This window comes from Homo sapiens, chromosome 16 (assembly GCF_000001405.40).
Source record: "Homo sapiens chromosome 16, GRCh38.p14 Primary Assembly".
Taxonomy (NCBI): domain Eukaryota; kingdom Metazoa; phylum Chordata; class Mammalia; order Primates; family Hominidae; genus Homo; species Homo sapiens.
This window is the reverse complement of record NC_000016.10, coordinates 54,381,743-54,394,861: the sequence shown is the minus strand read 5'-3', so window position 1 is coordinate 54,394,861 and position 13,119 is coordinate 54,381,743.

The following is a 13,119-nucleotide window of genomic DNA, read 5'->3' as shown; positions in this document are numbered from 1 at the left end:
GATCATTTAACTTGAAGACTTCTGGGCAATTTTCTTATAGTTTTTCTTAGATAACTTCTTTGTCTGTATTTTCTGTTTGCATTCTTTCTAAGCTTCCTGATAGTGGGATAAAGAACACATGGATTTGACCTCTATATTTAAAAGCTCTTTTCCTCCTAACAGTCATAATTTTGTTCTTTTTTAAAACTTGATCTTTTGAAATATTTCTCAACTTTATCTTCCAACTTCTCTATTAATTTATTTTTACTTTTGTTAAATTTTCAGTTCCCCAAAACTCTTTCTTGTTATATATTTGTTGACTTTTATAGTCTTTTTTCATAACTATAATACATTATAATATAACTCTAAAGATATTATAGGTTTTTTTATATCACCTGGATCCTGTGTTGTCTTTATTTCCTGCCTTCATTATTTTTGTGGAGCAGAGTGTCTCTTTTTTTCATGGTGAAAATTTCTCGAATGTCTGAAGATTCTTGGCTGTTTATATTTAAGAGAGAGGTGCTGAGAAGCAAATGGGAAGTTCTTTGTATTTTGATCATTGGTCAGAGGCCATATTTTGTTTTGAGGAGCCCCCATAAGTCAATATCTAGTCATCATTCCTTGGGGGACATTCCTATTCTCCCAAAAAATATCTTCTGATCCCTTGAAGGGTAAGAGTGGGGAAAAAACAGAGGGATAGTCAGAGAGTAAGCAACGGGAATTTAAGCAATGAGAGAGGTTCAACAACTGAATATTCTGAATGTAATGTCTTAGTCAGTCCGGGCAGCTATAAAAAATATCATAGACCAAGTGGCTTAAACAACAAATATTTATTTCTCACAATTCTGGAGGCTGAGAAGTCCAAGTTCAAGACACCAGTAGATTCAGTGTCTGGTGAGGGCCTGCTCACCAAATGGCTGTCTTTATGTTGTGTCTTCATATGGCAGAAGGAGGGAGAGTTCTCTGGGGCCTCTTTTAGAAGGGCATGAATCCCATTCACCGCCCCCCAACAAAACCCCCTCTTCCAAATACCGTCACATTGGGGGTTAGGATTTCAACATAAAACATTTGGAGAAACACAAACATTTAGTCTGTGGCAGATGTGTTATTGTGATCTTCTGGGAAGTCATTGGGAACAGGGAGAAGAAAAAAATGGATAGGCAGAGGGGATACATCTTACTGATGTCTTGGTTAAAAGACATTCCTGCTTGAAAACGTCAACACTTTAATCTACACATTCTGTGTTTCAATTTCCATCTCAGATGGCATCTAGTAGGTTGTTAGATTTCTGTTACATTCTCCCCTTGAAACTTTTCATAGAGACATGAATATTGGAAGTAAATATTACTAAATGTTTGAGTGTTATTTCTTTGCCTTTTCTTCTTTAAAAAGGGGCAGTTTTGATATTTAAACCCAATAGTTCATTGTTTTCTATTTTAGTCTTTTTCATTACACAAGTAAAAGGTGCTCCTTGTACATAACCTAGACGAGGAGCCAGCAACCTTTTCCTGTAGCAAATATTTCAGGTTTTGTGGGCCATATGATCTCTGTTGCACCTACTCAATTCTGCTGGTGTAGTGTAAAAGTAACCATAAATGAATAGGCTTGGCTGTGTTTGAATAAAAGTTTATTTATAAAAACAAATGGAAGTCCAAATTTGGCTCACAAGCCATACTTTGCTGACCCTTAATATGGAGAATATAGACTAATAAAATGAAGAAAACAAAATTACCTGGAATCTTACCACCCAAAGATAACTAATGTTAATATGTGGGTGTGTTTCTTTCCCATCTTTTCTCCATGCATATATGTTTTATTTCCAAAAGAGAATCGTTATCTATATACAATTTTAGCCTGTCTTCCCCACTTAATATTGAAACAGTATTTATGCTATTGAGTATTCTTAAATAACGTTATTTTTAACAGCTGTGAAATATTTTATTACACAGATGTAAAACTCAGCATTAACTTTTTTTTTTATGTTTTTTCACAGCATTGTGAAAACAATTTCAAAAAGGCTGTACCAATATTTAATCCTACCAGCAGACTAGGAAAATATCTCTTTTCTACAAAGGATCTTTTTAATAAGAAAATTTCACCAGTTATCAGGAATTTTTAAACTCATAAGTAATATCCTGCATTAATGTAATCTATTCTCTCTTTCTTGAATATCATGTCAAGTAAACTCTCCCAAACACATCCCAGGCATGTGGCCTTCAACTTAGCCTTTCCCCAAAATGTGCTCTCTGGACACTCATTGCCGGAGGTGAGCTGAGCAAAGAGGATTCTGTGGTCAAATAAATAAATGTAGGAGATGGCTAAGTACTGTCATCCCCTTCTTTGAGAGTCCCAGAGTTCACTGACATGTTAAAAGCATTAAAAATACTTGCATCCCATTTAGAACCACTGAGCTCTTTAACCCAGAATTTGCCAAACCAAATTCTTTCTTCAAGTAATGCCTATTCGAGATTCAACCAACTAGTTCTTCAGAACAAGTTTGGAGAATCTGGTCTAATGTATGGCCAAGGAGCATCATCTTATCATTGTAAATTTTAGTGTTCCCATCCAATAATCCTTCTACTAACAGCATGGCAAACATAACAAACTAAAAAAAAAAAAAAAAGGAATTAAGGTTGTTAGCAAATAATATAATAATTTTATATGAGAACAAGCTTTAAAAATGAAGACCCACCTTGGGAAGCTGAGGCAGGCAGATCACTTGAGGTCAGGAGTTCAAGACCAGCCTGGCCAACAAGGTGAAACCCCATCTCTACTAAAAATACAAAAATTAGCCAGGCTTGGTGGCGGGTGCCTGCAATCACAGCTAGTCTGGAGGGTGAGGCAGGAGAATCACTTGAACCCGGGAGGCAGAGGTTGCAGTGAGCTGACATCGTGCCATTGAACTCCAGCCTGGGCGACAAGAGCAAAACTCTATCTCAAAAAAGAAAGAGAATGAAGATCACACATTCTGGAAAGAGGGAAGATGAAGGGGACATAACTCAATGGGCAAGATGATTACCATATCCTGAAATAAAGTAGACAGCCATAGAGCTTGAGGGACACCGTTTAATCTTCACAAGGGCACAACAAAGTTAAGGAACTCATTATCCCATAAAGTTCAAGGAACATTTAAGCTAATTTGTGGATGTCGGATTCAGAATGGATTATTTGAAGCAAGCTAAGGATCTGGGGGAAGAAAACATTCCTGACCTTTTGGAAGCTGACATCATAGAAGAAAATCACCTTGTTCCTTCTTTCTAAGCAAGTCGTCACTTAGTCCTCTCCAAAGGGCGAGTTTCTCGATCCCTTAATCACTCTCCTCATGCTGGTCCATCATTAATTGCCAAGAAAGATTACTCTCATGCCCACTAAAACCCCTTCTTTTCCCCTTCCCACCTGAGCTGAAAAATAATAATTTAGAGTTTTCTCTTCTTTTATTTATCAACATAAAAAGAGGGGAGGGCAGCTGGAATGTGGGGAAGGAATCTCACTCTTACCATTGATTTTCAGTAATCTTCCAGGGTAACACTGAATTTTGGAACTTTTAGCAAAACGTGCTCAGTATTCACACTCTAACACCTCTCCATGATGCCCTTCTGTTTTCAACGATTTCTGAGTATTATAAATTCTATTAAAACAGTAGATATTCAAGCATATATGTCCCCTCTCCAGAGGCCTCTTTCATGACAGGACATCCCACACCATCACCAGCACCAAACAGCCCTAAGTTTCTGGGCATCATGGTCACACATTGACAAACCAAGAGACCTCTCTGAAGGTCAGCATCCCAAGGCCTTCTACTGAACTTGTTAACTTAGTCAACCTTGACAGAGAAGATGGAGCAGGTAGGAAAGCTGATCATTCTATCATACAGAAAAGAACATCTTGTCCAACCCATTCCATTTCATATATGCAAAAAATGAGCCAGAGATAGGGGAGAATTTGCCCAAAGTTGCAAAGTTATTGAGTTGCATGGCTGGGATTAGAACCCTGGGTCTCCTTCAGCAGACAGGTCTACCCGTTTCCTCCTGTTCCTGTCTATGCTGAACATTTTTTTTTATTAATCTTATAAAGCATAGTTGATGGGTCAGAAGAGTCTAAGGAGATTCCTCTTATGAAGATGAAACTCCTGAACTTAGAATCTGCAGAAATAATGGATATTCCTTCCTGGATTTTAAGGTCTTTGTCCTATTTGTGTTAAGAGTTAAACCTTTGGCCGGATGTGAACCCTTTCAGAATACACTCTCCAAAGGCCTAATAAGACCCTTCCAAAAATGCCATCCTTAATTAAACAGAAAGCATCTGAAAGCATCTTTCTTGCTAGGCTGCCAATTAATATAATATTACAGGAACTAAAAAATCAAAAAAAATAAAAAACCAGCAAAACTGGGACTTGTTTTCCTTTCTTCCACTGACTGTACATTCTTAGTTTGGTTTTAAATTTCTCCATTCTCCATGGGTATTGGCAAGGCTGGATTAGTAATGCTGAAAAATTTATCTTTACAACCTATTGTCTTAGGTAAGATTGTATCAACAGCTCCAGATGGACCAATCTCTAAGAATAATTTCACTTCCCCTTATCATTGACAGGAATCACATTTACATATTCTACTGGTGAGTGAGATAATGCAGAAATGATTAATGTCCCTCGATGTACAGATACCTGTAGACTGTTTGATCAATGTCTCCCCAGAAAGTCTTTCATTCTGGATGCTCAAAGTCCAAAAACGCTCTGTGATTAATGTAACCAAATGTTTGGGGTCGGCGGAAGCTGCAGGCTTCGTTTCTGTGTCCCCGTCACACTAAAGAGAGGTCGCAGGAGACTGGATTAGTCATGTGGAGAAAAAGTCTATGGGGCTCATGTTTGCATGGGATTTCAAATGTCCTTTTAAAGAAAGGAGTAGAATCCCCCCTGGAATGTCTCCTCCAGAGGCTCTGTAGAGAGAACAACACACTTAGTCTTTTAATGCAAATCTAATTTCCATTTAGAAAACCAAGTGCGTCTGATTCTGTGTGTGTGTTGTATTGGAATTGGGATATTTCCTGATTTATTTCACATAGTTTATTAACTGGGAATAATCTGGCTTCTCCAAGTTATCCCTGAGAGAGGCACTGGAACCAGCTGGAATAATGGGAAAAAAAGGTATGAGGAACAGATAGATATTGTCAATTGTCTTTTAAATCCTCCAGATTTGCTCAAACATTTCCTCTGAGATGCCTTTGATGATGACTCAAAGTTGGGGTGCTAGTGCCTGGAGCCAGGAATGCAGAGAGGTTAACCAGGGAACCTGGGGTTATCCTGACCTGTATTATGTGCCAGCTCTTGCTCCAAACTGGATAACCTTAGGACAGGTTTCAAGCCTCTGTGCCTCAGTTTAGTCATCTGTAACCTGAGAGTGATGATTGTAAGCACTCTAGGGTTGTTGAAAAACTTAAATGAAAAAACATTTTTAATGTGATTAGTTCAGTGCTTGGCACTCAGCAAGTATTTAATAAATTCTAGCTATTGTTATTATCATTATTAATTCTAAAAATAGCTTGTTGAAATGTCTCATGCATGCTTAGTGCAAACAATGAAGCTTTCTTCAGGTACTGCCTGGCTAGGTTCCCTCTGCAAGGAGATCTATTTTCCAGTGGAAAATATTTTTAAGGAAATTATATTCAATTCAACTACATTTACATAATAATATGCATATCTAAAAACCAACTCAGCCAGGCTGCCCCTAGCTGCGGGAGCTGAAGAGGCCATATTTAAGAATACAAATTACTTCTGAAATACGTTTCCATGCCCTAGACTGCTCCCAAGGAAGACATGTGGGTCATGATTAAATGGCAAAATTGGAAGATACTAGATGAATTGAGAAATAAAATCCAGAACCCCATATAGTGGTCAAATGCAAAAGATGGATTTGGGGAAGGATGAACCTAAGATGAGAGTGGCTCGAATTTCTCAAAGGAGAGAGTAGATCCTGGGGCAAATCATTAGAACTATTCATTGGTTCTTTCATTTATCCATTCAAAGAACATGTACAGGATGTCAGATGCAGTTCTAGGCATCAGGATCATGCAGTAAACAGGTCAGACCAAGTTCCTGCTCTCCTAAGGTTTACATCCTAGCAGAGAGAACAGACAGAACAAACAAACAATAACTAAGGTCATTTAGGCCAGGCATAAGTGCCATGAAGAAAATGGAGCTGGTCTTGTTTCTCCCTCTCAGAGCAATGAGGAGATGCTTCCCAGAAAAGCAGCTCAAAGACAAAAGCCACTTGTGGAGTCTGTATTCCACCCTTCCCTTTTTTGTCCTGTATGACTTTGGAAAAAATCACACCTTTACTGAATCCTTTTTTTCTCTTTGGAATATGAGGCCAATAATTCCAAGTCCCCAATGTGGAATTTTCTGAAAGCCAGGTTGTCTGATAGCTACACAATCTAGCCCAGGTTTAGCCCATGCTCAATAAGCTCACTGTCAAGTCTCCGGCCTGTTCCCATGGCAGACATCACCAGTCTATGGAGATCTTGCCTCAGACTCAGTCTAACTCCAGGCAGACCCTATCAATCCATCAGAGCAGGCGCTAGTATACTAGCTCTTGGCCTCTACACAGATGAAATTATGAAAATCTAAGAAGATATTAGCTTTCTTTGCTCATTGGTACAATCAAAAGATGTAGAGATTGAACTGCATGCAAAAGGAAGAGGCTGATATATGGTGGTGTGCATCACATCCAAGTTTGTCTTTCAACAGCCACATCTCTGTTCTGTGGACATCCACACCCACCAATGGCAGCACAGGGCTTTCCAGTTGGGGAACTCAAGGACCCGCAAGGCCAGACATGATGGCCTAGCACCTTCCTCAGAATCACACAAGCACCCCTCCCTGAGCTTTCATCACAGAGGCAGCACTATACAGGCTTTGGAGTTAGGGCAGCTCGAGTTTAAATCTTGACTTTGTGTGACCCTGAGCTCTCCAAGCGTTAGTTTCATCCTGTGGAAAAGGAAAAAATGACAGTGTTCAGCCGGCAGGGTGAGCACTAAGTGAGCTGATACTTCCAAAGCCCAGCACAGAACTCTCGATAAATGTCATATATTATTATTGCTGTTGTTATCTATTTAAATAAGTATACCACCTACCCTGAAGACGAGAAAACACAAATGTGGCTGGCACATAGTAGATACTCAGTAAATGTTATTCTTTTCTTTCTGCAGCCCTCTCCAGTACTGCATAGCCAAAGGTTGTGGGGAAAGGGAATGAGAAGATGCTCAGTTAAAGAAAATTGGAGGGCCGGGCGCGGTGGCTCACGCCTGTAATCCCAGCACTTTGGGAGGCCGAGGTGGGCGGATCACGAGGTCAGGAGATTGAGACCATCCTGGCTAACATGGTCAAACCCTGTCTCTACTAAAAATACAAAAAATTAGCCTGGCGTGGTGGCGGACGCCTGTAGTCCCACCTACTCGGGAGGCTGAGGCAGGAGAATGGTGTGAACCAGGAGGCGGAGCTTGCAGTGAGCCGAGATCACGCCACTGCACTCCAGCCTGGATGACAGAGCGAGACTCCATCTCAAAAAAAAAAAAAAAAAAAAAAAAGAAAGAAAGAAAAAGGGAAAGAAAGAAAAAATTGGAGAAAAGAGAAAAAACAGAGTCAATTCTGCTTGGTAGATCCGAGAGAAAAGAACCTGCTCCTACTGCCCAAGTTGAAATGCTTCGATCCAAGAGGGTGCGTCTCACGTTTCATCAGTGACGGTTCCCTGTGAGTGCATTCCTTTGCTGTGGAGTCCGTCTACTGCAAAAGAGCTTCAGCCAGTGTCATCGATGGGACAAACATGCCCATGGCCTGCTAAATAACGCAGGGCACTTGCCCTTTCAGATGGAGGTTTAGAAGAAGGCTTATGTGATTTTGCATTTTTCTCCAACAGAGAGAGCCACGAAGGAGGGTTGGAAACAGGAGGACTTGTCACTAGTTAAAAAACAAAACTACACACACACATTCAATAAACAGGAAAATTATTTAAATAAGCAATCCCCAGGAAAAAAAATATGAAAGCCAATTTTATTCATAAAACAACTGATTTACTGCATTCTAGCTAAAAGCGGCTTTTAACTCAAGCCTCTGAGATTCTATTTATTATTCAGCAAAATATTCAAGATTATTTAATAAAGGTATCTTTAATACTAATATGGCAGCAAAAGCTAATATATGTAAAATAATTATTATGAAAAGTATTATCAATATTTGGGGGAAATAATGTACATGCATAATGAATGGATTTTGCCCCTGGGTTTATGCTTATATCTTGGCCTGATTTTGCATGGAGAAATTCTGCATTATAATGAAAGGCAAAATGATCACACGTTATAACTGCGAGTTTTTTATCACTGCTTAGAAGAATCCTAAAACTGTCACCTAAACAGGAAAAAATATATATATTCCATATAAATGTGCATATGGTGAGGTTTATAATTTTCTGAGTGGTTGAAAACACTCGAACACCCAACTGCTTTCAAAATGACAATTATTGGCCTCAAAGAAGTAAATAAAAAATTTTTGATAGCCAACTATCCCAAAAATACTACTAAATTCTAAGCAAAGGAAGGTTTGTGCAGATCTATGTTTCAGTTTAAAGATTCTTGAAGCTGAAGTTCTCAGGCATTTCTCAAATGGCATACACAAACTAAAGCAAATAAAGAACTATTTTTGTTTTCCTGAGCCAATGAGGAATTTTCAAACTTTAAAAAAAACTCTTTCTCCAGCTTCACCCCCACCTCAAACTTACAGAGTGAAAAATCAAATTCTATTCAAAAAACATATTAGCATTGCTCCTTGTGTCAAAGCCTGTGACAATACAAAGAAAAATTGAGGAGTGTTCCTCCCCCTCTAAAGCATAGAATCATAAAATAGAATGTGAAATAACTCTGCAATTGTAGTCTATTCTCTTATTTTAGAGATATGGAAACTGAGACTTAAACATAGCAAAATCATTCAAATCTACATTTCCTTATATCTAATGCAGGGAACTTTCTAGAAGCTCCCACTTCTGCCCACCAACTTTACCAGGGCAACCAAAGAAGATTCAATGTCCATTGATGATGTCAACTATGTCCACATAAAATCTGCATATCTTCCACTAAGGCGGGTCTGAGGCACTGGGGACCAAGCTGAAGTTACCCTTTGCCACGCTTAGCTTAGACCCCAGTTTGAACAGCAACTCAATAGACCATTATCTGGCACCTACTATGCACAAAGCATGATGCTGGTCACACTCAACATCCTCCATTCTTCTCTACTGAAATTTCTGGAGTGAAGGTTCCCACCTTAAATGATTCCCAAGATAAGGCAGGCATGTTCAGCATCATTTAAAGAAAACAAAAGTTTCCAAACATTTGCAAGCTCTGGAATTTATGTGTAAGAACTAATGTTTGAGAGGGTTTTTTGTTTTTGTTAAGTGACTACAGTATAAATCTCACAAACTGCATAAATCAGGCTTGACTCCAGCCCCACAAGTAAGGCTGGGACCGATTTATGGCGAGGCATGAGAGAAGAACAGTGTGTTTTATTTACCACCTGACATTTACACATGAAGGAGCCTTGTGGGGGTTGGCCTGTGAGGGTTGGGAAGTAATCCACAAGGTTACAATAAATCCACCTGTGAATGGCAACCCCTTGGGGTAAAAACTTGGTCTCAAATAACCTCAAAGTAATTCTGTCTGGTGGAAGATTCTTTATCCTGATCAAGGATAATGTTGAATTAGAAGTCCAGTGTAACAACAGCCACGCCTTTCTTAGCTTTAAACACTGCTGATTTATTATTATTATTATTATCATTAGCATTAGCATTAGCATTAGAGAGCATACATTATGGGCTTTTTCCATCTTCACTGTTGGCATTTGGAGATTTGAGGTCAGTATGAAATGTTTTTATGAACATCTTATGAATTTTGAAATTATGAAAATTTGTCCTGAAGAGTTATTTTGAAAATGTGAAAATGTGTCTTCAAGAGTCTGTAGTCATTAAAGCCCTCTCAATGAATCTTGTCATGGGGATTAACCAAATATTTAATGAGCATCTATTATGTGGCAGGTGCATCACCTCATGGAGGGGACAGAAAATAAATAAATAATAGATCAGATAACAAGAAGTGATACAGAGGAAAATTAAGCAGAGTGATGGGGATACTTTAGTAGACAGGGTGGCCAGGAAATGTCTCTTTGGTAAGGTGGCATTTCATTAGAGACCTGAATGGAGTGAAGGAAGAAGTCATGCAGACAAGAGAGTAAGAACATCGAAGGTGGCTGGGCATGGTGGCTCACACCTGTAATCCCAGCACTTTGGGAGGCTAAGGCAGGCAGATCATGAGGTCAGGAGATCGAGACCATCCTGGCTAACATGGTGAAACCCCATCTCTACTAAAAATACAAAAGATTAACTAGGCGTGGTGGCGGGTGACTGTAGTCCCAGCTACTCGGGAGGCTGAGGCAGGAGAATGGTGTGAACCTGGGAGGCGGAGCTTGTAGTGAGCCGAGATCGTGCCACTGCACTCCAGCCTGGGTGACAGAGTGAGACTCCATCTCAAAAAAAAAAAAAAAAAAGAACATTGAAGGCAGGAGAACAGCCAGGGCAAAGGCTGGAAGTGGGAAGAAGATTGACGTCTTTAAGAAACGCTAGGGAGACGGGAGTGGCTGGAGTGGAATGAGTGAGAGAGAGTCATATGAGACAAGATCAGAGAGGAAACTGGAAGCCAGATCCCATAAAGCAGGGGTGTCCAATCTTTTGGCTTCCCTGGCCTATTGGTCCATTCACACTGCTACAAAGCTACTACCTGAGACTGGGTAATGTATAAAGGAAAGAGGTTTATTTGACTCACAATTCTGCATAGCTTGGGAGGCCTCAGGAAACTTACAATCATGGCAGAAGATGAAGGGTAAGCAAGGCACATCTTACATGGCAGGAGGAGAGAGAGAGAAAAAGGGGAAGGGTCAGACACTTATCAAACAACCAGATCTCTTGAAAATTCACTCACAAGAACAGCAAGGGGGAAATTCGTCCCCATGATCCAATGATGTCCCACCAGGTCCCTCCCCTGACACATGGGGATTATAATTCAAGATGAGATTTGGGTGGGGACACAGCCAAACCGTATCACGTGGGCCACATTGGAAGAAGAATTGTCTTGGGCCATGCATAAAATACACTAATACTAAGGATAGCTGATGAGCTATAAAAAAAAATCATTCATAAATTGTATAATCCTTTAAGAAAGTTTACAAATTTTTGTTGGGCCACATTCAAAACCATGCTGGGCCACATGGAGCCTACAGGCCATGGGTTGGACAAGCTTGATATAAAGCCTTGTAAGCTTTGGGAGGGGATTTAGGAAGCATAAGAAGGTTGAGCCAAGGAGGAACAGGTTGTGATCTATGCTTGGAAGGCCTCACTCTCTTCATGGAAGACATTTTGGAAGGCAAGGATAGAAGCTAGGAGACCAGTTAACATACTATTGCAATAGTCCAAGCCAGAGCTAATGGCAACGGATGACAAATTCCCTCACTCAGTCTACTTTAATCTCAACTCACTCTGCGCACCCCACGAGTGTCTCACTAACCACTGAACCTATTTTAAGAAAGACAAAAATTGCAGTTAAACCTACAGCCCGGGAGCTCTGGATAATTTGGAAAAAGTGCAGTTTCTGAAAAGTTGTAAGTCCAGAGGATATAAATAAGTCCTTTCCCTTTTGAGACATGTCAAGGATAGTGTAGTTGCTTTCATCATGTGATCCATTCACTAGGATAAGGTGCATCCTACAATGATAGCATTCCTTCCAATAATTTACCTAAGGCCAGTTTGATGCCCAGTAGTTCTAGCTCCTGGGGAAAAGTCCGCTCTAAGCCTATTTACCAATGTGTCAGAAAATAGTACCAGAGACCTCATTGGACTTAATTAAAGCCAAACTAGACTTCATAGAAAGAAGGGGAAAGAGTGTACCAGAGAGAAGGAGAGAGGCTTGGGGCTGCTCTGCCATATTCTTTTCCAGCAAATTGGTTTCTGGCTATGTGAGCGTATTGGGAAGAACACTTAGGAGTGATTATAACAGAGGAAGGTTGTGGGGGATGCACGGACAAGACAGTGAAGAATGGGGCCAAATGGGAGGGAATGGACAAATTAATGATTAAGGAAGATTTTTTTTCTTCTAGGAGTCGTGTCCAGCCTGGCCTCCCAGATTTGAGCAATCTTTCACTGTCAAGAGAGGCTGGGAGATTGATTCAATTAAGATTAGCAGAGTCGGAAAAATGGCATGGGTTAGTTTTGATTAGTATTGTCTTCTCTCTCATCTCTTGGTGGTGGTGGCCTGAACACAGGTGGAGTTTGGCTCTATCAGGTCACAGGGAAGGCAAGAACGACTTCCAGAGTGGGGTTCATGGACCAGGCTCTGGGCTGGAGAGGTGGCATTTCCCTGGTATTTTCTTCTGAGGTCTCTTCTATTTGTCCTTCCTGGGTATGATTTTCTTATAATTAGCTACTTCTTCTGAAGAAACACTAAGGGGGTGGGGAAAATCTGATATATGGGGTCAGTGCTGAGTACAATTCCTTGGAGCAAATAAATGTAATTGGAGGTCTCATTAATTCTGAGGCCATGCCCAGATGCCCTCTCTGATCCATTGGAAGGGTGGGAGAACTTTCCTGGATAGGTGAGCATGTCTCAAACAAAGAGGGGCCGGCAGCCCCAGCATCTGCTGGCGGAGAATCTCACAAGGCTTGAGGTCCCGGGGTGAAGAGAAGGGAGGGAATAAATCACTCTTGCCTCATCCCACTGCCGCACCAAGAAACCCAGATGCACCCGAGCTGTTGATTTCTGCCCGATGAGTCTTTGCATCTGAGAGCAGCCGGCAGATGCTTAAAATAAATGCGCCTTGCAATTTACCACCACCTCTAAATTCATATTCAGACCCTGTTTCTGGATAAGTTTAATGAAAGTGGTACTTTCCGCAAGGTCCCTGGTGGCATTAGTTCACATTACAAAATCATTATACATAATTTGACACTATTGTGCACCGTTAGCTTAGAAAAAGAGCTTGTTTTACAGCTCTGGGGACAGAGGTCCCTCCAGATAAGGTTGGGCTTATGACAGAGTGAGAGGGGAAAGAAATGC